The sequence below is a fragment of the Homo sapiens genome, chromosome 18 (genome assembly GCF_000001405.40).
Source record: "Homo sapiens chromosome 18, GRCh38.p14 Primary Assembly".
NCBI lineage: Eukaryota > Metazoa > Chordata > Mammalia > Primates > Hominidae > Homo > Homo sapiens.
The window spans coordinates 46,078,841-46,104,364 of record NC_000018.10 but is presented as its reverse complement, the minus strand read 5'-3'; the positions used below and the strand labels follow the sequence as shown (position 1 = coordinate 46,104,364).

Below are 25,524 nucleotides of genomic sequence, written 5' to 3'. Positions count from 1 at the left end.
CCCCGCTCACTCCCTAGGCCCCGCCCACACGCCGTTGGCACCCGCCCCTCGCCGGGCCCGGGATTTCTGGGAGTTGTGGTTTTACCTGAGACTCCTGGCCGTTGAGCCCCTGTGCAAGGCTGGTCGAAGGCTCTGGCATTGCAAGCCTCGCTTCGTTGCCACTTCCCAGCTCTTCCCGCCTTCCGCGGTATAATCAACACTACGAGAGATAGAGCCGCCTAGAACCAGGTTGTTTTTTCTTTCTTTTATTTTTATTTCTTGTTTGAATCACTTGTCGTTAAAAAAAAGTACTTGAAACGTTTGGTTCTTGCTTAGCAAGATGTTTGTGTTTCTTCCACATTGATTGCATCCACTCAGAATTTATATTCTACCCTGGCAATATGAGCTGAGGCAATCTTAACTTGATCCGTTAGTTCCCCCAACCTAAAAACTAGGGACATTTTTTTTTTTTGAGACAGAGTCTCGCTTTGTCGCCCAGGCTGGAGTGCAGTGGCATGATCTCGGCTCACTGCAACCTCTGCCTCCTGGGTTCAAGCGATTCTTCTGTCTCAGCCTCCCAAGTAGCTGGGACTACGGGCAAGCGCCACCACGCCTGGCTAATTTTTGTGTTTTTAGTAGAGACGGGGTTTCACCATATTGGCCAGGCTGGTCTCGAACTCCTAACCTCATGATCCGCCCACCTCGGCCTCCCAAAGTGCTGGGATTACAGGCGTGAGCCAGCGCGCCCAGCTTTTTTTTTTTTTTTTTTTTTTTTGAGATGGAGTCTCTGTTGTTCAGGCTGGAGGGCAGTGGCACGATCTCGGCTCTCGGCTCTCAGCTCACTGCCACCTCTGCTTCCCGGGTTCAAGCGATTCTCCTGCCTCAGCCTTCCGAGTAGCTGGGATTACAGGTGTGCATCACCACGCCCAGCTAATTTTTTGTATCTTAGTAAAGATGGGATCTCATCAGGTTGGCCAGCTTGGTCTCGAACTCCTGACTTCAGGTGATCCGCCCGCCTTGGCCTCCCAAAGTGCTGGGATTACAGGCACTGCGCCCGACCTTTTCTTTTCTTTTTGAGATGGAGTGTTTCTCTGTCGCTTAGGCTGGAGTGCAGAGTGACATGATCTTGGCTCACTGCGACCTCCAACCCCCGTCCCCAGGCTCAAGCAATTCTCCTGTCTCATCCTCTCTAGTAGCTGGGATTACAGGCTTGTGCTAGCATGCAGGGATAATTTTTTTATTTTTAGTAGAACGGGGGGTTTCACCACGTTGATCAGGCTGGTCTCAAACTCCTGACCTCAAGTGATCTGCCTGCCTCGGCCTCTCAAAGAGCTAGGATTACAGGTGTGAGCCAACACACCCAGCCTAAAATGATTTTCTTTTCAAAGGAAACTTACTAGCAAGCCAAGCTTATTTATTATTTATTTTATTTTATTTTTAGAGACAGGGTCTTGCTCTTTCGTCCAAGCTGGAGTATAGTGGTGATCACAGTTCACTGCAACCTTGAACTCCTGGGCTCAAGCAATCCTCCCGCTTCAGCCTCCTTAGTAGCTGGGACTATAGGCGTGCACCACCACACCCAGCTAACTTTTTGTATTTTTTGTAGAAAGAGGGTCTCACTATGTTGCCCAGGCTGTTTTTGAACTCCTGGCCCCAAGTGATGCTCCCACTTGGGCCTCTCAAAGTGCTGGGATTACAAGCATGAGGCACCACACCCAGCCTGTCTTGCTTATTCTTTTTGCTTCAAACATATCTCTGCTCTGGCTGGATGCGGTGCCTCACACCTATATTCTCAGCACTTTGGGAGGCCGAGGCAGGTGGATCACCTGAGGTCCGGAGTTCAAGACCAGCCTGACCAACATGGCAAAACCCCATCTCTACTAAAAATACAAAAATTAGCCAGGCATGGTGGCACGTGCCTGTAATCCCAGCCACTTGGGAGGCTGAGGCAAGAGAATCACTTGAACCCTGGAGGCAGAGTTTGCAGTGAGCTGAGATTGAGACACTGCACTCCAGCCTGGGCGACAGAGTGAGAATCCACCACAAAAAACAAAAAAAAACAAAAACTAAATATATCTCTGCTCTGTAACCAAATTTCAGATAAACTGGTGCAGCCCTTCAGTATGGGGCAAAAAAAGTTATCTTTATGTCTTTTGTCCACTTTTATCACTACAAATTTTACAAAATATCCCTGCAATTTTTTTTTTTTTTTGAGAGGGAGTCTTGTGCTGTTGCCTAGGCTGGAGTGCAGTTGAGCAATCTCGGCTTACTGCAAGCTCCGCCTCCCGGGTTCACGCCATTCTCCTGCCTCAGCCTCCCGAGTAGCTGGGACTACAGGTGCCCGCCACCACACCCGGCTAATTTTTTGTACTTTTAGTAGAGACAGGGTTTCACCATGTTAGCCAGGATGGTCTCGATCTCCTGACCTCGTGATCCGCCCACCTCAGCCTCCCAACGTGCTGGGATTACAGGCATGAGCCACCATGCCCGGCCTTTTTTTTTTTTTCAGACAGAATCTCACTGTGTTGCCCAAGCTGGAGTGCAGTGGTCACTGCAACCTCCATCTCCCAGGTTTAAGTGATTCTCGTGCCTCAGCCTCCTAAATAGCTGGGATTACAGGCATGTGCCACCATGCCCAGCTAAAGATGGGGCAGGGGGTGCAGGGATCTCGATATGTTGGCCAGACTCATCTTGAACTCCTGACTTCAAGTGATCAACCTGCTTCAGCCTCCCAAAGTGCTGGGATTACAGGTGTGAGCCACCATGCCGGCTAATTTTGTTGTTATTGTTGTTGTTGTTTTGAGATAGTCTCACTCCTGTCGCGCATACTGAAGTGCAGAGGCGCAATCTTGGCTCACTGCAACCTCCACCTGGCTCACTGCAACCTTCACCTCCTGGATTCAAGCGATTCTCCTTCCTCAGCCTCCTGAGTAGCTGGGGTTACAGGTGTGCACCACCACCCCCAGCTAATTTTTGATTTTTTAGTAGAGACGGGGTTTTGCCATGTTGGCCAGGCTGGTCTTGAACTCCTGACCTCAGGCGATCTGCCTGCCTTGGCCTCCCAATGTGCTAGGATTACATGCGTGAGCCACCATGCCCGGCCTTGTTGTTTTTAGAAACGATATTTTTTCCTGTTAGCTTGTGAAAGTTGATTGGGTCATTCTTGTCATCCCCAACTAAAACAGTGTCAAGAGGTAAAGGGAAAAAAAAGCACTCAGGGCACATAACATTGCTCCAAAAATGTAATTATCTGTAAGCCTGGCTGCTGAAACTGCCCGCTATAACCTAAACCAGTTTTTTTGTTTGTTTGTTTTGAGATGGAGTCTCACTCTGTCGCCCAGGCTGGAATGCAATGGCATGATTTTGGCTCACTGCAACCTCTGCCTCCAGGTTCATGTGATTCTCCTGCCTCAGCCTCCCAAGTAGCTGGGATTACAGGCACCCGCCAACATACCCAGCCAATTTTTGTATTTTTAGCAGAGACGGGGTTTCATCATGTTGGTCAGGCTGGTCTTGAACTCCTGACCTCAGGTGATCCACCCGCCTCGGCCTCCCAAAGCGCTGGGATTACAGGCGTGAGCCACCGTGCCCGGCTGACCTAAACCAGTTTTATCTAATTAGCTGCTAAAAACAACCTGCAGTGACTCTAAGGATCGTTTTACCTAGTTGCCATTACTTGCCAATCAAAACTTGCCAGCTCCCCAAAACCTTACTAGTGACAATGAACTTTCTTAAAGAACAATATACAACAGTTCTCTTTTTTTGTTGTTTGTTTTGATATAGGGTCTTGCTTTGTTGCCCAGGCTGGAGTGTTCCGGTGTGATCACAGCTCACTGCACTCCCAAACTCCTGGGCTCAAGTGAACCTCTCATCTTGGCTTCCCAACGTGTTGGGATTACAGGCATGAGCCACTGTTCCTGGCTATATTTCTCTTTTACAAAAATAAAACCTCTAACCATCTGTTTGTTCTTCTGACGTACCAAAGACCACCCTGTTTGTGTGTATGCCCTGAATGGCAATTATTGCTTCCCAAATGTTTTAAATTTATAGATTTGTCTCTGTATTTTATTTTACTTGGACAGCCTTTTTCTTTTTCTTTTCTTTTTTTCTTTCTTTTTTTTTTTTTTTTTTTTTAGATGGAGTTTCACTTTTATTGCCCAGGCTGGAGGACAGTGGTGCAATCTGGGGCTCACTGCAACTTCTGCCTCCCGGGTTAAAGCAATTCTCCTGCCTCAGCCTCCCCAGTAGCTGGGATTACAGGTGCCCGCCCCCATGCCGGGCTAATTTTTGTATTTTTAGTAGAGATGGGGTTTTGCCATGTTGGCCAAGCTGGTCTCGAACTCCTGACCTCAGGTGATCCACCCGCCTCAGCCTCCCAAAGTGCTGGGATTACAGGCGTGAGCCACTGCGCCTGGCTTGGACAGCCTTTTTGTACCCCTGATTCCCAGGAGAACTGCTGCTCTATTTTCCCATGGCTTACCTTGAAAAGAGTAGGATACTAGAGAAAAGGATGGCTAATCACGTGTTTACAAGCCATGTTTCAGGAGATGACCCTTGTAGCCCGGATATTTATTTGCCTCACCAAAATTCAGGTTCTAGGTGTAAGCCAGGATTTGGGGGATGGAACTGAAAATGCTTCTCCAAACGGTGAAAAGCGGGCCCAGCGCAGAGGCTGAGGAGGAAGGATCACTTGAAGCCAGGAGTTCGAGACCAGCCTGGGCAACATAGAGAGACCTCCCCCCACGCCCTGCCCACCACCGCCGTCTTTACAAAAAAATTAGCCAGGCATGGTGGTGGGACCACAGGGGCACAGGCTGAGGTCAGAGGATTGCTCCAGCCCAGGAGTTCCAGGCTGCAATGAATGGTGATAAACCCACTGCACTCTTTCCTGGGCAACAGAGTGAGACCCTGTCTTAAATAAAATAAAATAAATAAATAAAAAAAAAAGAAAAGTGAAGGCAACGTTAATAAGTGTCCACTATGACATAATAATAACCAGCATCACACACACACACAAATCTTGCATATATCACAAAAATCTCAGTATGGTAATTCTGTGGAGAAAAAAAAAAAGCCCATCCAGGTAAGCATAGAAAGTGTTTTTTCATCATCTCCCTTTGACTCCAAATGAAGAAGCAGAGTTCCCAATAGCATGAACTAGATGTTGGCAGAGGAAAAAGCGAGTCCTCGTCCTATCCTGGTGTAAACTTCTGATTCTGGACAATTCTCAGTAGGATTGGCAATGACTCTTCTAGGCCTCCTTGTGATTGTTGATATATTTTTTTTAATTTAAAGTTCCGGAATACATGTCCAGGACGTGCAGGTTTGTTACACAGGTAAATGTGTGCCATGGTGGTTTGCTGTAACTATCATCCCATCACCTAGGTATTAAGCTCCGCATGTATTAGCTATTTATCTTGATGCTCCCCTCCCCCGGTTATCAGGATTTTTAAACAGTTTGCTCTAATTCACTGACAGGATTCTTTTAGAATGAATCTAAAAAAGCTGGGAATCTTTAACCTGAGCGCAGATCGGATCACGTGGAACGGTGCTGGTGTTTGTTAAAAATTCAGATTGCCCCGAATTTTCGACTCAGAGGGTCTGAAGTGGGGCTAAGATCTGCAGATTAACGGGCTCCGTGGGAGGCTCCCTGCTGGTGGCCAGTCCCGGGGTTTAGCTGTTCACTGTTGCTACTCGTGCTAAACCACGGTCTAACACTACCGACACTATTAATCGCCCTGGTCCTCAAGACAGCCGCGACCCCAGACGGGTGAGGCCCTCATCCTCTAGCACCAGATGGGGCCTGGGAACTGCTGCTTAGCAGATTCAGCTACCCACGTGGTCACCCGGGGCAACCACAAGGTCGACTCAAAAGACCAAAATAAATGTATAACGAATGCCAGGACCAAAGCCGGAATATATCTAATCATTCATTTTGAGGTTTAAACTTAAAAATGTTACATAAAAAAATAAGTAACCTGCCAAAAAATGCAGAGTGGCGGCGGGGGCGGGGGGAGAGGTGGTGAACGCGAGGGGCAGTACTTCCGGGTCAGGTGGGCCGGCTGTCTTGACCTTCTTTGCGGCTCGGCCATTTTGTCCCAGTCAGTCCGGAGGCTGCGGCTGCAGAAGTACCGCCTGCGGAGTAACTGCAAAGATGCTGTCCGTGCGCGTTGCTGCGGCCGTGGTCCGCGCCCTTCCTCGGCGGGCCGGACTGGTGAGCACCGAAGGCCGGCATGATGCAGGCGGCCGGGTGGGGCTGCAGGGTGGTGGTGCGCCGGCTCGGGCGCTCTCTGCAGGAGGGCGAGGGGCTGTGGCGAATGCCGCCATCTTGCACCCGTGGCTTCTCCGGCTGGACAGAGCAGGCGACACAGGTGCCCTTTTGCTCGTCACCTGCGCAGAGGCAGAATGGTACAGGGCAGACAGTTAACTCGATGGTGTCCAGAGACAGGGCCTCAAGATTCCTGTCTTCGGCTGACAGCGGCCCTAGAAGGGGGATCTTGGGTGAAGGTCAGGGCTTGGGCGCTAGCTCTCCGAGGCCTGTTCTGAATCGGTGAGGTTCCTCTCTTTCGATTCTTAGGGTCGCGTCCCGCTGAAGGTCAGAAAACTGCTGTCAGCTCTTGTTGAAGCTAGTCAGTGGAGTCTGACATTGTGTGAAGGTCAGCAGGCCCAGCATTTCACCTCTGCCTGGAGCTCAGTTTAGAGGAAAGGAATAAATGAAGGTGGTTTTTGGAATACTTACGTAGGCTTTCTCTTAGTGCTGAATACGAAACGACCGTGAAAACGTCCTGCAGGTGCAAAGAACCATTTCATGTGGCCAGCACTGTGACAACAGTGAAGCTGGTTTCTAAATTGTCTCTCCGGCAGAGTGTGTGCTTTGTGGCACTTGGACGTGTTTAAAGAATTTGTCCTTGAGTTTTCCACCTGGTTTTGAGTAATTTTTAGTGATGGAGAATTCAAGTAAAAGAGAACAAGGTTGGAAAATGGCTGTAAGGATTAATACCCTTCGTTATTTGTTTCCCTTGAAATTAACATGATTTCAGTGTAAACGCATTGACACTGACACTTTTTTTTTGTTCTAAAAGTAATCTCAATTTGAAAGGTGAAATAAACATGTTGGCTGTTTTGCTGCCTTAACAACCGCTGGTAGCATCTTGGGTTTCTGTTAACAAAAAAGCATTTTTAACGGTTTTCATCTAGCTCCTATGGAAGGTAGAGGCTTCAGAATTGACAGTGACCAGTCGCAGTATTACAACTTGAAGGAGAAACTGAAGGAAGTTCCAGGTGGCTGCAGGATTTGTTGAGAGAGTAAAATAAGTCCACATGCCACAACTCTTGGTTTCTAATCTAACTCTAGCATTTATTCAGTTTTTGTTTGCTTGTTTTTTTTTTTTTTTTTTTTTTTTGAGATGGTGTCTCGCTCAGTCGCCCAGGCTGGATTGCAATGGCGTGATCTCCGCCCACTGCAACCACCGCCTCCCAGGATCAAGTGATTCTCCCACCTCAGCCTCCCGAGTAGCTGGGATTACAGGCACCCGCCGTCATGCCCTGCTACTTTTTGTAGTTTTTCGTAGAGACGGGGTTTCACCATGTTGGCTAGGCTGGTCTTGAACTCCTGACGTCAGGTGATCCGCTCGCCTCGGCCTTCTGAAGTGCTGGGATTACAAGCATGAGCCGTCGTGCCCGGCCGCTTGTTGTCGTTGTTGTTGTTGTTGTTTTTAAGTAAAATTGGAACTACTTTGAGTTTTGCCCCTTGTAGGAAGCTGTTTATCTTAGAATTCCTGCAACTCCATTAAAATACATCTAAAGTCAAAATAATAAAAATTGGGTACCTTTAAAGGGAAAGACACTTACATTTTGTTAACAGTTGCTTTTTTTTTTTTTTTTTGAGACGGAGTTTTGCTTTTGTCGCCCAGGCTGGAGTGCAGTGGCGCGATCTTGGCTCACCACAACCTCTGCCTCCCAGGTTCAAGCGATTCTCCTGCCTCAGCTTCCCGAGTAGCTGGGATTACAGGCATGTGCCACCACGCCCAGCTAATTTTGTATTTCTAGTAGAGACGGGGTTTCTCCATGTTGGTCAGGCTGGTCTCCAACTCCCGACCTTAGGTAATCCGCCCGCCTTGGCCTCCCAAAGTGCTGGGATTACAGGCATGAGCCACCGTGCCCTGCCAATAGTTGCTTTTTAAAATACTGACTGCCAGGCCGGGTGCAGTGGCTGACGTCTGTAATTCCAGCACTTTGGGAGGCCAAGGTGGGTGCATCACCTGAAGTCAGGAGTTCGAGATCAACCTGGCCAACATGGCGAAACCCTGTCTCTACTAAAAATAAAAAAATTAGCCGGGCATGGTGGTGGTCGCCTGTAGTCCCAGCTACTCAGGAGGCCGAGGCATGAGAATCGCTTGAACCTGGGAGGTGAAGGTTGCAATGAGCCAAGATCGTGCCCCTGCACTCCAGCTTGGGTGACAGAATGAGACTCCGTCTCAGAAGGAAAAAAAAAATGTGTGTGTATATATATATTTACTGCCCAGTAAATATATATTTATTTACTGCCCAGTCTGGGCAATATGATGAAATCCTGTCTCTATAAAAAAAATAAGTACAAAAATTAGCCTGGCCAGGTGGCGCACTCCTGTGATCCCACCTACTGGGGAGGCTGAGGTGGGAGGATCACCTGAGCCCAGGAAGTCGAGGCTGTAGTGAGCCGTGATTGAGCCACTGCACTCCGACCTGGGTGACAAGAGTGAGACCCTGTCCCAAAAAAGAAAAAAAAATAAGCCGGGTGCGGTGCTCACGCCTATAGTTCTAGCACTTTGGGAGGCCAAGGCGGGTGGATCACTTGAGGTCAGGAGTTCGAGACCAGCCTGGCCAGCATGGTGAAACCCCGTCTCTACTAAAAATATAAAAAATTAACCTGGTGGAGGTGGCGCACCCCTGTAGTCCCAGCTACTCGGGAGGCTGAGAATCGCTTGAGACTAGGAGGTGGAGGATGCAGTGAGCCGTCTCAAAAAAACAATAATAATAAAGTACAGACTGCATTTTAAAAATATGCGAGTGTTTACTGTGTACTAGGAGCTGTATAAAAGGTTTTCACATATATCAAAAGCTACTTTCCCATTTGACATTTTAAACAAAATGCTTTATATGTAATTAGCATTTTCACCAGTACTTTGATCACACTAAGCTGGCATTTGTTTAAGCTTGTAAGTTTTATAAAGGCTTTGTTAAAAATCAAATTTTTAAGAATACTTTTGCACTAGGTCTCCAGAAATGCTTTGGGTTCATCTTTCATTGCTGCAAGGAACTTCCATGCCTCTAACACTCATCTTCAAAAGACTGGTAAGTTATTATTTCTCAGTCTACGCCGCACTTACTAGATGAAGATATAAATTACATACATCGTATAACTGTGGTGAGTTGTTTTTCATTTGTTAGTTTTTTCTCTAGTTTGTATAGACTCTCAGGTTCTTAAACCATATTGTTACCATTTAGCCCTGTCATGGTTCTCTTGTTATAGTCAAATGAACTACTGTTACATATTTTTCTTTTGATATTAGTATGGCTTCTTTGTTCTGGTAATGGCCCTTGGGTAGAAACAGAAAGAACATACACTAGGTAATGGAATCTTTGTGACCTCTGGAAGACTTCCTTTTTCCTTTTCTAAAAGGCATTAGAAAAAATGTAAGTTCTTATTGATAGGTTTTCTTATTCGTTTTCTTTTTTTTTGAGACAGAATCTTGCTCTGTCGCCAGGCTGGAGTGCAGTGGCAAGATCTCGGCTCACTGCAACCTCTGTCTCCTGAGTTCAAGCAATTCTACTGCCTCAGTCTCCTGACTAGCTGGGATTACAGGCATGCACCACCATGCCCGGCTAATTTTTTGTATTTTAGTAGAGACAAGGTTTCACCATGTTGGCCAGGATGGTCTCGATCTCCTGACCTTGTGATATGCCTGCCTCGGCCTCCCAAAGTGCTGGGATTAAAGGCGTGAGCCACTGCACCGGTCCACTGATAGGTTTTATTTTTTCAAAGGCAGTAGCTACTAGATATTTGGCAATCTGTGAACTTGCACATTACAGATGCAGTAGAGAAGTGGGGAGGCAAGCATAGGAAGACACTATAAGTTGGGGAATTTCTTTGGAGATGAGTATTTGGACTTTTAAAATAAAGGTTAAATATATATGTGTGTGAGAGTGTGTGTGTATATGTGTGTGTGTGTGTGTGTGTGTATGTGTACACACACCCCCACGTTCAGCATATATGTTTTTCTTTTTTCTTTTTTTTTTGAGATGGAGTTTTGCTCTTGTTGCCCAGGCTGGAGTGCAGTGGCATGATCTGGGCTCACTGCAGCCTCTGCCTCACGGGTTCAAGTGATTCTCCTGCCTCAGCCTCCCGAGTAGGTGGGATTACAGGTGCCCACCACCACACCCAGCTAATTTTTGTATTTTTTGTAGAGACAAGGTTTCACCATGTTAGCCAGGCTGGTCTCGAACTCCTGACCTCAGGTGATCCACCTGCCTTGGCCTCCCAAAGTGGTGGGATTACAGACATGAGGCACTGTGCGTGGCCTCCTTTTTTTTGAGACTCTGTTGCCCAAGCTGGAGTGCAGTTGCGCCATCTCAGCTCACTGCAACCTCCACCTCCCAGGTTCAAGTGATTCTCCTGAGTCAGCTTCCCTAGTGGCTAGGATTACAGGCACGCACCACCACACCTGGCTAATTTTTGTATTTTTAGTAGAGATAGAGTTTCGCCATGTTGGCCTGGCTGATCTCAAAGCCCTGACCCCAGGGGATCCGTCTACCTTGGCCTCCCAAAGTGCTGGGATGTTTTTTTATTTTGTTTTGTTTTGTTTTTTGAGACAGAGTTTCGCTCTGTTGCCCAAGCTGGGGTGCAGTAGCGTAGTCTTGGCTCACTGGACCCTCCACCTCCTGGGTTTGAGTGATTCTCTCCTGCCTCAGCCTCCCGAGTAGCTGGTATTACAAGCATGCACCACCACAGCTGGCTAATTTTTTTTTTTTTTTTCCTTAGTAGAGATGGGATTTTGCTGTGTTGGCCAGGCTGGTCCAAACTCTTGGCCTCAAGTGGTCCGCCCGCCTCCCAAAGTGCTGGTATTACTGGCGTGAGCCACTGCACCCAACCCCTGTATGCTAAGATGAAGAATACCACCTATACTACCCTGTGTGCCTTGAAAGAGAAAGACACACTTTGTTAACAGTTGATTTTTATTTTTTATTTTTTATTTTTTTGAGATAGAGTCTTGCTCTGTCTCCAGGCTGGAGTGCAGTGGGGCTATCTCAGCTCACTGCAACCTCCTTCTCCCAGGTTCAAGTGATTCTCGTGCCTCAGCCACCCAAGTAGCTGGGATTACAGGCATGCACCACCATGCCCGGCAAACTTTTGTGTTTTTAGTAGAGATGGGGGTTTCACCATGTTGCCCAGGCTGGTCTCGAACTCCTGGCCTCAAGTGATCCACCCCCTTTGGCATCCCAAAGTGCTGGTTTTACAGGCATGATCTACCGTGCCTGGCCAACAGTTGGTTTTTAAAATATGTTTTTATTGAATTTAGCCAAAAATTCAGGTTTTAACATAGTTACAGATTTCTTAGAAATTAAAGGAGAACATTTATTTTAAGGGTTTTACTTAATTTGATTAGCTTCTTGTCTGGTTTACATTTGTTTTGTGTGGACTTTTTTTTCCTTAATCACTTGGTTTTATTTTCATAGCTTTTAAAAATAGAATCTCGTGTTACAGTGTAGAATATATATATATATATATAATTTTTGTGTGTGTGATAGTCTCACTTTGTCACCTATGCTGGAGTGCAGTGACACAATCTTGGCTTACTGTGACTTCCACCTCCCAGGTTCAAGCAGTTCTTCTGTCTCAGCCTCCTGAGTAGCTGGGACTACAGGCATGCCCGTGCCCAGCTAATTTTTTTTTTATTTTTAGTGGAGACGGGGTTTCACAATGTTGGCCAGGCTGGTCTCGAACTCCTTACCTCAAGTGATCTGCCTGCCTCAGCCTCCTAAAGTGCTAGCATTACCACTGTGGCTAGCGTGAGCCACTGTGCTGGGTCTGTAGAATATATTTGGATTATTATGATCACAAAACTAGTTTTTTGTTGTTGAGAAATGGGCTTTGAAAAGATCCGAGGACCAGATTTTTATTATTATTATTATTATTATTATTATTATTATTATTATTATTATTATTTTGAGATGGAGTTTTTGCCCTTGTTACCCAGGCTTGAGTGCAATGGTGTGATTTCAGCTCACCGCAACCTCCGCCTCCTGGGTTCAAGCGATTCTTCTGCCTCAGCCTCCGCCTCCCGAGTAGCTGGGATTACAGGCATGTGCCACCATGCCCAGCTAATTTTGTATTTTTAGTAGAGACAGGGTTCTCCATGTTGGTCAGGCTGGTCTCAAACTCCTGCCCTTAGGTGATCTGCCTGCCTCAGCCTCCAAAAGTGCTGGGATTACAGCTGTGAGCCACTGTGCCTGGCCCAGATTATTTTTTTAATTGAATTGAATTGTCTTCCATAGGGACTGCTGAGATGTCCTCTATTCTTGAAGAGCGTATTCTTGGAGCTGATACCTCTGTTGATCTTGAAGAAACTGGGCGTGTCTTAAGTATTGGTGATGGTATTGCCCGCGTACATGGGCTGAGGAATGTTCAAGCAGAAGAAATGGTAGAGTTTTCTTCAGGCTTAAAGGTAAATTATAAAATAAGATTTTGGTGTTTTAGGATCTAAGTCTTCTCAGTTATTCATTTAGCGATTCAAAGATTGTATCAGATTTTTAAAAAACTTTGTCTTAATTTGCCTCAGATTTTTTTCTTGTTATTATCATAGATTGTAAAGAGAATAAACTTAAGGGTTTGAATTAGCCAAGTTTTTTTACTCTAGGGACTGATTTATACATAACTTGTAGCCACTGGCTCCAAAATATAAAATTGAATAAACTTTCACCCCAAATCCAAGAAGTTTAAGTCTGTTCTGTCTTGCTGTTAAGATTATTTTATACAAAAGCAAAGCATTTGATAACTTCAACAAAATTTTTCTGGTGGAAATTGGAAGTCCGTGACTTTGTATTTCTAGTGAGTAGACATATTGTTCAAAGGCGAGTTTTGGTGTAGCTATCAGAAGCTCTCTAATGTAAGTCTACTTTGTATTGGGTTGAGCCTCATCTGTCAGGGTATGAGAAATAAGTTGTAGGAGTTAGGGAAAGCAGAGGATGACATCTGGATAAACTAGAGAGAGTGGAACTGTCTAGTAGGCATGCAGATATGGGAAAAGATAGTCTTGATACTCTTGGTAATGTCTACTACGGAAAAAGAGCCACTTGATGTGGAAGAATAATTACAGAGCCCAAAGTTATCATTAGCTGTAAGACATTGGCCAATTTAGCATCTTCAGTGTACAGTATTTATCTTTGAAAGGTGAGGTCGAAACAGATTAATTCTGAGTTCCCCTTTTAGCTTTTGAAATCCAAGTGTCTAGAACAGTACTGTCCAGTAGTATTGGAAATATGTAGTATTCTGCAGTGATGAGAATACATCTGTGCTGTTTAATATGGTACCTACTATACTATCACTATTAATCATGTAAAATGTGGCTAGTGTGACAGGAACTGAATTTTTAATCTTTTAAATTTGACAAATTTAAATAGCCACATGTGGTTAGTGGATGCTGTATTGAACATCAGAGATGTAGGTTAAAGTTTTTGGATGTGTAATGATATTCCATGATACTCCAAGTACTTCTCCAGAGTTTTCATTATTGACCAGACTATTCCTGGAATAGCCTTTTTGCTTCAGACATGATTTAAAGATCTAAAATATAGTTTTAATGATGAGAGATGATTTGGTGCTGTTATGTTATGAAAATTTGTATTTGATTGGTTACAGTTAGGTAGCTTTTAATTTCACTTTCTACTAACTCGAAGAGTACAGGTTTTGATTAATTTTTGAAACTGTTTATGGAGCTTCTCACACATAAATAAGATGATAATCAAATTTGTCTTAAGATTTCCATTTGGCCTTCATCACTTTATTTCATACTGATCACCCAGCCCAAGAATCATTGCCAAAGAAAATACAGTGGAAAAAAGCTTATTAACCTGTCCAATTTCTTTGCTTCTGTAATAGTTATTTGAGGATATGATAGTGAGCATATTAGGCTTATCAATGTGCTGTCCTAAGATTATTCAAAATAGCAATTTTAAAAGTCTTAATCAGAGAGGGTTGTTTGTTAGTTGGAAAAGTACTCAAGAATAAACCAGGTGAAAAGGACAATACTGCTTCCCCCCCCACCCCCCGACTATTTTCTTATGTAGTATTGGTGTATGGGGAGGAGTGCCCATTCAGCTTCATTGATGTTCAATTGTGTCTTTTGTGCAGGGTATGTCCTTGAACTTGGAACCTGACAATGTTGGTGTTGTCGTGTTTGGAAATGATAAACTAATTAAGGAAGGAGATATAGTGAAGAGGACAGGAGCCATTGTGGACGTTCCAGTTGGTGAGGAGCTGTTGGGTCGTGTAGTTGATGCCCTTGGTAATGCTATTGATGGAAAGGTAGGTTTAATGTTCGTTAGATATAGTTGCAGCTTCTAACAAACATCAAAACTGATTATGCTTAGGGTTTTTCTTTTTATTTTTTAACAGGGTCCAATTGGTTCCAAGACGCGTAGGCGAGTTGGTCTGAAAGCCCCCGGTATCATTCCTCGAATTTCAGTGCGGGAACCAATGCAGACTGGCATTAAGGCTGTGGATAGCTTGGTGCCAATTGGTCGTGGTCAGCGTGAACTGATTATTGGTGACCGACAGACTGGGTAAAGACTCAAAAGCATATTAAAAGTTCTAACTAAAATTTGCTCAATGGAAGGATTATATTTTAGTCTTGGAATGGTAAATGGTAATGGGGACATTAGAATCTAATACGAGGATTAATAGTAAAATTTCAGCTGGGAAGTGAAGGGGGCCAGCCCCTCCACACCTGTGGGTATTTCTCATCAGGTGGGACGAGCTAGCTCAGTCGGTAGAGCATGGGACTCTTAATCCCAGGGTCGTGGGTTTGAGCCCCATGTTGGGCACCAGATGAAGGGGGCCAGCCCCTCCACACCTGTGAGTATTTCTCGTCAGGTGGGTTGAGAGACTGAGAAAATAAATAAGACACAGATACAAAGTATAGAGAAAGAACAGTGGGCCCAGGGGAACGGCGCTCAGCATATGGAGGACCCATGCCGCCACTGGTCTCTGAGTTCCCTCAGTATTTATTGATCACTATCTCTACTATCTCGGTGTGGGGGATGTGGCAGGACTGTAGGGTTAATGGTGGGGAGAGGGTCAGCAGGAAAACGTGAGCAAAGGTCTCTGTGTCATAAATAAGTTTAAGGAAAGGTGCTGTGCCTTGATGTGCATGTAGGCCAGATTTATGTTTGACTTTACACAAACATCTCAGTGCAGTAAAGAGCAGTATTGCTGCCAGCATATCTCACCTCCAGCCATAGGGTGGTTTTCTCCTATCTCAGTAAATAGAATGTACGATTGGGTTTTACACCAAGACATTCCATTCCCCGGGACAAGCAGGAGACAGATGCCTTCATCTTATCTCAACTGCAAAGAGGCTTTCCTCTTTCACTAATCCTCCTCAGCACAGACCCTTTACGAGTATCGGGCTGGGGGATGGTCAGGTCTTTCCCTTCCCACGAGGCCATATCTCAGGCTGTCTCAGTGGGGAGAAACCTTGCACAATACCCAGGCTTTATTGGGCAGAGGGCCCTGCAGCCTTCCACAGTGCATTGTGTCCCTGGGTACTCGAGACTGGAGAATGGCGATGACTTTTACGAAGTATACTGCCTGCAAACACATTTTTACCAAAGCACATCCTGCACAGCCCTAAATCCGTTAAACCTTAAGTCAACACAGCACATGTTTCTGCGAGCACAGGGTTGGGGCTATGGTTACAGACTAACAGCATCTCAAGGCAGAAGAATTTTTCTTAGTACAGAACAAAATGGAGTTTCTTATGTCTTCTTCTTTCTGCATAGACACAGTAACAGTCTGATCTCTCTTTCTTTCCCCCACAGGGAAGTCCTTTTAAGTTTAGGAAGATTTATATTTACTTTCTCTTTTTAAAGGAAAACCTCAATTGCTATTGACACAATCATTAACCAGAAACGTTTCAATGATGGATCTGATGAAAAGAAGAAGCTGTACTGTATTTATGTTGCTATTGGTCAAAAGAGATCCACTGTTGCCCAGTTGGTGAAGAGACTTACAGATGCAGGTATTAAAAGAAATTTAGTCCCATTGCTATTATCTTAAGTCCCATTGCTGCTGATTGTAGAATAGCTTCTACTTAATGAAGGCATATTTTAATTACTTCCTAATGGGCTGAACTTTTTAATACAAATCAGTAGGTAAGACAATGTAAAACAGTAGTACATTTAAAGGTTTTGTTGGTTTCTTTAAAGTGGAAGCTGTTTGATTCTGATTAACTCTTTTTTTGTTGTTTGAGACGGAGTTTCACTCTTGTTGCCCAGGCTGGAGTGCGATGGCACGATCTCAGCTCACTGCAACCTCTGCCTCCTGGGTTCAAGCGATTCTCCTGTCTCAGCCTCCCGAGTAGCTGGGATTACAGGTGCATGCCACCACGTCCGGCTAATTTTTGTATTTTTAGTAGAGACGGAGTTTCCTCATATTGGTCAGGCTGGTCTCGAACTCCTGACCTCAGGTGATCACCCGCCTAGGGCCTCCCAAAGTGCTGGGATTACAGGCATGAGCCACTGCGCCTGGCCTGATTAACTCTTAATGGTAAATATTTTTAGCACTTAGGTAATTTTTATAGTAGCCTCCAATTTAAAACCACAATATTGATAAAATTGTAAAATATATTTTCTCAGATGCCATGAAGTACACCATTGTGGTGTCGGCTACGGCCTCGGATGCTGCCCCACTTCAGTACCTGGCTCCTTACTCTGGCTGTTCCATGGGAGAGTATTTTAGAGACAATGGCAAACATGCTTTGATCATCTATGACGACTTATCCAAACAGGTCAAAGGAAATAAATTTTTAGAATCCATTTATTTGTACTGAAGTAAAAGTTCACATATGCAACTTCTATTTAATAGGTTAACTTCACAAACCTATTCTGTACCATAGGCTGTTGCTTACCGTCAGATGTCTCTGTTGCTCCGCCGACCCCCTGGTCGTGAGGCCTATCCTGGTGATGTGTTCTACCTACACTCCCGGTTGCTGGAGAGAGCAGCCAAAATGAACGATGCTTTTGGTGGTGGCTCCTTGACTGCTTTGCCAGTCATAGAAACACAGGCTGGTGATGTGTCTGCTTACATTCCAACAAATGTCATTTCCATCACTGACGGACAGGTATTATTTTAATGATTAAAAGAAATGTTAAAAAAGATTTGGATAATTCTAAGGCATTGGTTGAGACTAATGGTATATTGACTGATTTGCTAAATGCATTTTACTTTTTATTATGGAAAATTTCAAATACATAGAAAAGTTAGGAGAATGGCATAGTGAAACCCCATGTATCTGTCACCCAGTTATTGCATAGAGTAGCATGTTTCGTTCTAGTTTCATTTTTAACCACTACTGTTCTCCCTTCTAGATAATTTTGAATCAAATAGAAATTATATCACTTCATTTGTATGTATTTCAGTATAAATATGTTGCCTATTATGTTTTTTTCTCATCTCATGCACATCTCCTAATTGCAGCAATAAAATATACAGGTCAGGTCGTGAAAGATTTGGGGTACTGATGCTTTGCATTGTTAGGTTTTGAGTTTCAGCTTTTTGGCATAATGACTTAAATTTGAAGATAGTTGATTTCTTACTTTAAGCTTGCTAGCGTGCGTATTTCCTTACATTATAGATCTTCTTGGAAACAGAATTGTTCTACAAAGGTATCCGCCCTGCAATTAACGTTGGTCTGTCTGTATCTCGTGTCGGATCCGCTGCCCAAACCAGGGCTATGAAGCAGGTAATTTTGCATCACTTTGGCAGTAAGGGGGCTATCATTAGATTAGCATCTTAAGGTATTAATATATTAACTATATTTGTATAGTGCTCTGTGTCACTGAGTTACAGTACAGTAATTTCTGTATTGCAGGTAGCAGGTACCATGAAGCTGGAATTGGCTCAGTATCGTGAGGTTGCTGCTTTTGCCCAGTTCGGTTCTGACCTCGATGCTGCCACTCAACAACTTTTGAGTCGTGGCGTGCGTCTAACTGAGTTGCTGAAGCAAGGACAGTATTGTAAGTTGTTCTTTTCTTCATTTGGTCAGGTTCCTATTGTGTATCAGGGTCTTCCCAGGCCTACAGAGCTGCATCACATATCACGGCCTGTACTACGTGTTGTTATCTGTTATCTTTCATCAAAGGCACTTTTACTTAAACTACATTTGTTTTTTGATTTTTGATTTTTTTTTTTTTTTGAGACGAAGTTTCATTCTTACGGCCTAGGCTGAAGTGCAATGGCGCAACCTTGGCTCATTGCAACCTCCACCTCCTGGATTCACGCGATTCTCCTGCCTCAGCCTCCTTAGTAGCTCGGATTACAGGTGTGAGCCACCACGCCCGACTAATTTTTGTATTTTTAGTAGAGACAGGGTTTCACCATGTTGGCCAGGCTGGTCTCGAACTCCTGACCTCAGGTAATCCACCCTGCCTCAGCCTCCCAAAGTGCTGGGATTACAGGTGTGAGCCCCCATGCCCGGCCCTGTATTCTGTTTTTTAAAGAGAGACAGTGTCTTGCAGTGTCACCCAGGCTGGAGTGCAGTGGTGCCATCATAGCTCACTGCAGGCTTGAACTCCTGGGCTCAAGCAGTCCTGCAGCCTTAGCTTCCTGAGTAGCTAAGACTACGGGCATGCACTACCATGCCTGGCTAATTTTTTTGTATTTTGTAGAGACAGGGTCTCACTATGTTGCCCAGGCTGGTCTTGAACTCCTGGCCTTATGCCATCTTCCCACCTCTCAAAGTGCTGGCATTATAGGCGTGAGCCACCATGCCCGGCCTCAAACTATCTTTCTTTTTCTTTCTTTCTTTTTTTTTTTTTTTTTTAATACAGAGTCTCCTTCTGTCACCCAGGCTGGAGTATATTTTTAGTAGAAATGGTAAAACCTCTACCATTTTGGCCAGGCTGATCTTGAACCCCTGACCTTAAGTGGTCCACCCGCCTCAGAGTCCTAAAGTGCTGGGATTACAGGTGTGAGTTACCATGCCCGGCCCAAACTACATTTCTTATTATCATTTGAGTGTAAATGATAGGGGCTTCACAACCAGGAAAACTTAAGTATATTTAATGTCTTCCTTTCAGGAATTAAGGCCTGTTAGAGTCCCCTCCCCCACTTGGCTATATGAATATGTAATTTGGCAGATTTAAAAGAAAGTTAATACGTTTTTATTTTGTCAAGTCATTTCAGCAAAATATTTATACTCAAAACAGTATTAACACTGTCAGATTATAAACAGTGCTTATGGACTATACTGAAAGATTATGCCTCAAGCCTTGAAAATATAAGAAATAACTGTTTTCTGTCAGGGGTGGGAGGAAGGATTATTAAGTGGAGTTCTAGGTCATTGATATTGTGAAGAATAGATAATTTACAGGGACATGTTAGGAATTGGAGAAAAAGTAAGTTTTCCTGACCTTGGTAACATGGCATTCATTTCTTTGAGCAACTCACTTGGCATTCTTCTTGTATCTTTTCAGCTCCCATGGCTATTGAAGAACAAGTGGCTGTTATCTATGCGGGTGTAAGGGGATATCTTGATAAACTGGAGCCCAGCAAGATTACAAAGTTTGAGAATGCTTTCTTGTCTCATGTCGTCAGCCAGCACCAAGCCTTGTTGGGCACTATCAGGTATGAATGCAATTGTTGGCATCTTTTTTTAAAGTTATGTTTAAGATATGAAGTTAAAATTATTTTCAAATCTGTAGTTAGGCTAGTCATTAAAACTTTTTCCAGGTCAGAACTTACGACCTGCTTTTATTTCCAAATAGGGCTGATGGAAAGATCTCAGAACAATCAGATGCAAAGCTGAAAGAGATTGTAACAAATTTCTTGGCTGGATTTGAAGCTTAAACTCCTGTGGATTCACATCAAATACCAGTTCAGTTTTGTCATTGTTCTAGTAAATTAGTTCCATTTGTAAAAGGGTTACTCTCATACTCCTTATGTACAGAAATCACATGAAAAATAAAGGTTCCATAATGCATAGTTGTTTTCTGTCATTTGTGTTATTCTTTAAAACCAAGATCAAATTGAGAAATTGGTAAGCAAATGCTTCTTGATCTATTTTACTTGAATATTGGTACAGTCAACTGGGCTAGATAATTCAAGGCTGAGCTCTTTGTAAGTTTTTTTTTTGTTTTTTTTTTTGAGACTGATTCTCACTCTGTCACTGAGGCTGGAGTGCAGTGGCACCCTGTCGGCCCACTGCAACCTCCGTCTCCGGGTTCAAGCAATTCTCTTGCCTCAGCCTCCCACGTAGCTGGGATTACAGGTGCCCACCACCACGCCTGGCTAGTTTTTTAGTATTTTTAGTAGAGACGGGGTTTCACCATGTTGGCCAGGCCGGTCACGAACTCCTGACCTCAGGTGATCCACCTGCCTTGGCCTACCTACCACAGTGCTGGGATTACAGGTGTGAGCCACCGCACCCGGCTGCTCTTTGTAAGTTTCTAGAGTACTTTGTGTTTAAGAGAAATTCCTAAACTGGATATATGTGGCAGGCTGACAATACTGAAGAGCATAGCTGGCTTCTCTGCCCAGAGGATGTACCTGCATAAAGAGGTACTGTAGGCAGGAAAATAATAGGACAGTTAAAATTCTCAGGGAAATGAAAAAATTGCTGGAACAAAAGCTGAGAAGATAGAATGCATAGGATTATGAAAACTTGTCAATATCTCTTTTGTTTGTTTTGTGACAGGGTCTCCATCTCTCTCACCCAGGCTGGAGTACAGTGGTGTGATCTCAGCTCACTGCAGCTTCTGCCACCTGGGTTCAATTGATTCTTCCACCTCAGCCTCCTGAGTAGCTGGGGTTACAGGCACATACCACCACGCCCAGCCAATTTTTCTACTTTTTGTAGAGGGAGGGTCTTGCCATGTTGTCCAGGCTGATGATGAACTCCTTGGCTCAAGTGATCCTCCTGCCTTGGTCTCCCAAAGTGCTGGGATTACAGGTGTGAACTACCATGCCCGGCCATCTTTTAATATTTTCACAGCTACTTTATTTCCTCTGTTACTAGCTTTTCATAGCCTTTGCTCATTCTTACTGCATTAAATTTTTTTTACTGATTTATTTATTTTTTTGAGACAGAGTCTTGCTCTGTCACCTAGGCTGGAGAGCAGTGGCGTAATCTCAGCTCACTGCACCTTTCACCTCCTGGGTTCAAGCGATTCTCCTGCCTTAGCCTCCCAATTAGCTGGGACCACAGGCCCATGCCACCACACCCGGCTAACATTTTGTATTTTTAGTAGAGACAAGGTTTCACCATGTTGGCCATGCTGCTCTTGAGCTCCTGACCTCGTGGTCTGCCCGCCTCAGCTTCCCAAAGTGCTGGGATTACAGGTGTGAGCCACCACGCCCAGCCTACTGATTTATTTATTTACTTTTAATTTTTCATAGCCTTTGCTCATTCTTAATGTGTTACCTTTTTTTTTACTTAGTTATTTATTTATTTGAGATGGAGTCTCCGTCGTCCAGGCTGGAGTGCAGTGACCTGATCTTGGCTCACTGCAACCTCTGCCTCCAGGTTCAAGCAATTCTCCTGCCTCAGCCTCCCGAGAAGCTGGAACTACAGGCACCCACCACCATGCCCTGCTAATTTTTGTATTTTTAGTAGAGGCGGGGTTTCACCATATTGGCCAGGCTGGTCTCGAACTCCTGACCTTGTGATCTGCCTGCCTTGGCCTCCCACAGTGCTGGGATTACAGGTGTGAGCCACCACACCTGGCCTTTTTTTTTTTTTTTTGAGACGGAGTCTCACTGTCTCCCAGGCTGGAGTGCAGTGGTGCGATGTCGGCTCACTGCAAGCTCTGCCCCCTGGGTTTGCGCCGTTCTCCTGCCTCAGCCTCCCGATTAGCTGGTACTACAGGCGCCTGCCATCACGCCCAGCTAATTTTTTTTTTTTTGTATTTTTAGTAGAGACGGGGTTTCACCATGTTCGCCAGGATGGTCTCGATCTCCTGACCTCATGATCCACTTACCTCGGCCTCCCAAAGTGCTGGGATTACAGGCTTGAGCCACCGCGCCCGGCCTCTTTTTTTTTTTTTTTTTTTTACTGATATATAAAGGCTTTTGTCTGTAAGGGTCATACATGGTCATGTTCTAAAATATTTTTCCTAGGGTTCCCCCTTCCTTGCCATTTTATTTTGTTGATGGGGATTTGCTGTACCGAAACTTCATTCTTATCCATCTCTCTGTCTCCAGTAAGTCAAAATATATTTACATATGTGGGCTCCAATATCTTTGGTAGGAAAAGGAGAGTTCTTAAAGTACTCATAAGTCCTTTTCAGTACTTAGAGGAACACTAAACTTGATAGCAGTTGGTCATTTCTGATCAACTCTTGCTTTCTAGCTACTTGAGAAATAACTTCTAGATCTGATTTTCCTTTTCTGAAATAAGGAAGTTACTTTTAGTTAGAAGGTTCTGCACATTTCGTTTTTTTTTTTTTTTTTTTTTTTTGTTTTTTTTTTTTGAGAGTTTTGCTCTTGTTGCCCAGGCTGGAGTGCAATGGCACGATCTCGGCTCACCACAACCACCGCCTCCTGGGGTCAAGCAATTCTCCTGCCTCAGGCTCCTGAGTAGCTGGGATTACAGGCATGCACCACCACGCCTGGCTAATTTTGTATTTTTAGTAGAGATGGGGTTTCTCCATGTTGGTCAGGCTGGTCTCAAACTCCTGACCTTAGGTGGTCCACCGGCCTCCCAAAGTACTGGGATTACAGGGGTGAGCCACTGCGCCCGGCTTGTTGGAGCATTTTATACCTAGTGTCAGTGGTGATTACTACTTTGGAGAAAAATACTTTGGCTAATGGATTGGAATTAATTTATTACTGGGAGTATGTATTGTTTGTTTGTTGACTGGATCTCGTAGCCCACTCCTGGCACGTAAATGCTCAATAAACTTCTCAAATGAAGACAACCATGTTTGTCCATTATAAATCAAATTCCAAATGTTAACTACTGGTCTGGTCTGATGAGATTTTTTTTTTTTTTTTTTTTTTTGAGACGGAGTTTTGTTTTTGTTGCCCAGGCTGGAGTGCAATGGCGCGATCTCGGCTCACTGCAACCTCCACCTCCTGGGTTCAAGTGATTCTCCTACCTCAGCCTCCTGAGTAGCTGTGATTATAGGTGTGCACCACCATGCCTGGCTAATTTTTGTATTTTTAGTAGAGACGGGGTTTCACCATGTTGGCCAGGCTGGTTTCGAACTCCTGACCTTAGATGATCCACGTGCCTCGACCTCCTAAAGTGCTGGGATTACAGGCGTGAGCCACTGTGCCTGGCCCACGCCAGGCACAGTGATATTTAAAAATGTGATTTTTAAATATCACATTTAAAAATATGTGATATTTTTAAAGAATATGATAGCCCAGGCGCAGTGGCTTACGCCTGTAATCTCAGCACTTTGGGACGATCACTTGAGCCCAGGAGTTTGAAACAGGCTGCAGTCAGCTATGATCACGCCACTGCACTCCAGCCTAGGTGACAGAGACCCTGACTCTTAAAAAAAGTTGTGCTAGAAGACTTCAAGATCTCCCCTAAAACTGTATAGTCCTTTCCCTGGTGTTTTTGCTGAGCTATAGAGTCCAGCCCTTTCTGTTACAGCAATGAACCATGAGATTCAAATACTGCTTTTTACTAAGTACTTACAGACTAATGACATAGGAGACCTCATAGGCACCTGGCTGTTTTTAACCAGGCAGGCCTAAATACACTGCCCAAGTGGCCCTTCTGTGTGGCAACAAAATGGCTGTCATAAAATTGTGTCTGTGTGCATTTATCTTATCACTGGGGGTGGTGAACATTTGAGAAGGCACTTGACCTTTGAAATGTGAAGTTTTATGGATTTCAGACTTGTATTTTAAAAACTATTTGTTAACTGTAAGGTCTTGTCTTTTTTGCTCTCCTGAAAGTTCTTAGCGTCTCAGCTCTATAATCTATGATTGCAAGAATATTAAGATAAGCATATCTGAAGTAGTACTTAGTTCAGCTATTAATTGAGCATTACCTATGAGATGAACACTAAAAAGGATTCAAAGATGAGTAAGACACAAAAGGACTCCATCAATAACTTACCTAACCTAGGAGTAAGGAGGAGGAGGGAGAACAAAAGACCAATTCATCATGTCTTGTAAATACTGTATAATTACTACATAGAAATACAAATAAGATGGAGTAACTAACCACTACAAAGTGTCATTTGGATTAAAAGATCTATGTTTAATGGTAGAACTAGGAAAGAATTTATGGGGGAGTTGGCCTTTGGCAAGAGTTATAAGGCTGCCGGACTTTTGACTTACTTCATGGGATGGATGTGACAAACCAAATATTGGTCATAAACCATTTTAGCAATTTAGGACAGTTGCTACCCAAACACTCACTCATCATTTGGATTATTTTAGCCCTTCCATGATGATCCATAGATTGCAGAGCTTTTAATAATGGAAGCTTTAAGGACTCAGGGAAGACCAGGTGGCCATCTAGGCTCTCCATGAGTCCCTGCTTAACACTGGATTTATATTCTTTTTTTAAAAATTTAAAAATATTTTGTACAGCTAGGGTCTCACTCTGTTGCCCTGCCTGGCCTTCAGTGATCCTCCCACCTTGACCTCCCAAAGCACTAGAATTACAGGCATGAGACATCATACCTGGCCTGTATCCTCCTAACTACCAATTTTGTTTCTCTAATTCAGGTGCATAGCACTATTTATTAAATTGGCTTTCACAGGTAATATGACTTGGACCATAAGTGTTCATTCAAATTGCATATATAAACAATTTCAGTTCTGGCTAATTCGGCATGAAAATATGGCAAATTATTTTCTTGATATTCAATTAGTTTTTATCCTGTTTATATTACCAGTTTCATAAACCAGGCAGTCTCTTCATTAGAGTTCTGAGACTTCTTATCCAGTCCAAATAATATGATCCTAAAGTTACTGGAAGCCTGTATTCAAGAGTGCTTGTCAGGGTCCATTCCATCCTTCTCATGAATCTCCTTGTTGTTTTTTTTTTTGTTGTTTATTTTGTTTTTTTTATTATGCTTTAAGTTTTAGGGTACATGTGCACAATGTGCAGGTTAGTTACATATGTATACATGTGCCCTGCTGGTGCGCTGCACCCACTAACTCATCATCTAGCATTAGGTATATTTCCCAATGCTATCCCTCCCCCCTCCCCCCATTCATGAATCTCTTTGAAGACACACTTCAGGATTTTGCTTGCTTGCAAAGAGCTTTTAGAAAATGTGTTGGATCTAAGCACTTAACTGTGGAAATGACTTGAGATGGTC

At 44.1% G+C, this 25,524-nt stretch overlaps 1 protein-coding gene and 1 non-coding gene across 6 annotated transcripts, besides 5 other annotated features; both read left to right on the top strand.

Annotated features, from left to right (window-relative positions):
* Positions 56 to 155: a silencer, noted in NCBI's record as "silent region_9419". NCBI's record gives its function as "represses an Ori minimal core promoter by ATAC-STARR-seq in GM12878 lymphoblastoid cells {active_cell/tissue: GM12878}" and the evidence as "EXISTENCE:reporter gene assay evidence [ECO:0000049][PMID:35858748]".
* ATP5F1A (ATP synthase F1 subunit alpha) lies at positions 138 to 24,117 on the top strand. 5 transcript variants are annotated; one of them, NM_001001937.2, is made up of 13 exons: positions 138 to 228; positions 6,086 to 6,193; positions 9,234 to 9,312; positions 12,514 to 12,683; positions 14,369 to 14,542; positions 14,633 to 14,799; positions 16,108 to 16,256; positions 16,873 to 17,024; positions 17,133 to 17,357; positions 17,871 to 17,978; positions 18,108 to 18,252; positions 19,711 to 19,861; positions 20,002 to 24,117. In NM_001001937.2, exons 2-13 carry the CDS (start codon positions 6,134 to 6,136, stop codon positions 20,081 to 20,083), a joined length of 1,662 nt encoding a protein of 553 aa, NP_001001937.1. In that variant the 5' UTR covers positions 138 to 228; positions 6,086 to 6,133; the 3' UTR covers positions 20,084 to 24,117. The 5 variants fall into 5 exon arrangements, with proteins under 5 accessions (NP_001001937.1, NP_001244263.1, NP_004037.1 ...); NM_001257334.2 differs by lacking the exon at positions 138 to 228 and having other exon boundaries at positions 6,069 to 6,193; positions 14,369 to 14,476; NM_004046.6 differs by lacking the exon at positions 138 to 228 and having other exon boundaries at positions 6,069 to 6,193.
* Positions 5,470 to 6,669: an enhancer, noted in NCBI's record as "BRD4-independent group 4 enhancer chr18:43677662-43678861 (GRCh37/hg19 assembly coordinates)". NCBI's record gives its function as "activates an origin of replication core promoter dependent on BRD2, P300/CBP, MED14 and CDK7 cofactors, and independent of BRD4, by STARR-seq in HCT116 cells {active_cell/tissue: HCT116}" and the evidence as "EXISTENCE:reporter gene assay evidence [ECO:0000049][PMID:35650434]".
* Positions 5,470 to 6,703: a biological region, named in NCBI's record as "BRD4-independent group 4 enhancer GRCh37_chr18:43677662-43678861".
* Positions 6,404 to 6,553: an enhancer, noted in NCBI's record as "active region_13270". NCBI's record gives its function as "activates an Ori minimal core promoter by ATAC-STARR-seq in GM12878 lymphoblastoid cells {active_cell/tissue: GM12878}" and the evidence as "EXISTENCE:reporter gene assay evidence [ECO:0000049][PMID:35858748]".
* Positions 6,644 to 6,703: an enhancer, noted in NCBI's record as "active region_13269". NCBI's record gives its function as "activates an Ori minimal core promoter by ATAC-STARR-seq in GM12878 lymphoblastoid cells {active_cell/tissue: GM12878}" and the evidence as "EXISTENCE:reporter gene assay evidence [ECO:0000049][PMID:35858748]".
* Positions 14,988 to 15,060, top strand: TRK-CTT6-1 (tRNA-Lys (CTT) 6-1). The gene has a single exon. It is a non-coding gene; the product is annotated as a tRNA-Lys (tRNA).

What these genes read in the sequence shown, in the direction of transcription:
- ATP5F1A (NM_001001937.2), top strand. Translation starts at nt 6,134, where the DNA reads ATGCTGTCCGTGCGCGTTGCTGCGGCCGTGGTCCGCGCCCTTCCTCGG. An exon ending in CACTCATCTTCAAAAGACTG is followed by an intron (nt 9,313 to 12,513) that starts GTAAGTTATTAT and finishes TGTCTTCCATAG; the next exon opens with GGACTGCTGAGATGTCCTCT. An exon ending in AGTTTTCTTCAGGCTTAAAG is followed by an intron (nt 12,684 to 14,368) that starts GTAAATTATAAA and finishes TCTTTTGTGCAG; the next exon opens with GGTATGTCCTTGAACTTGGA.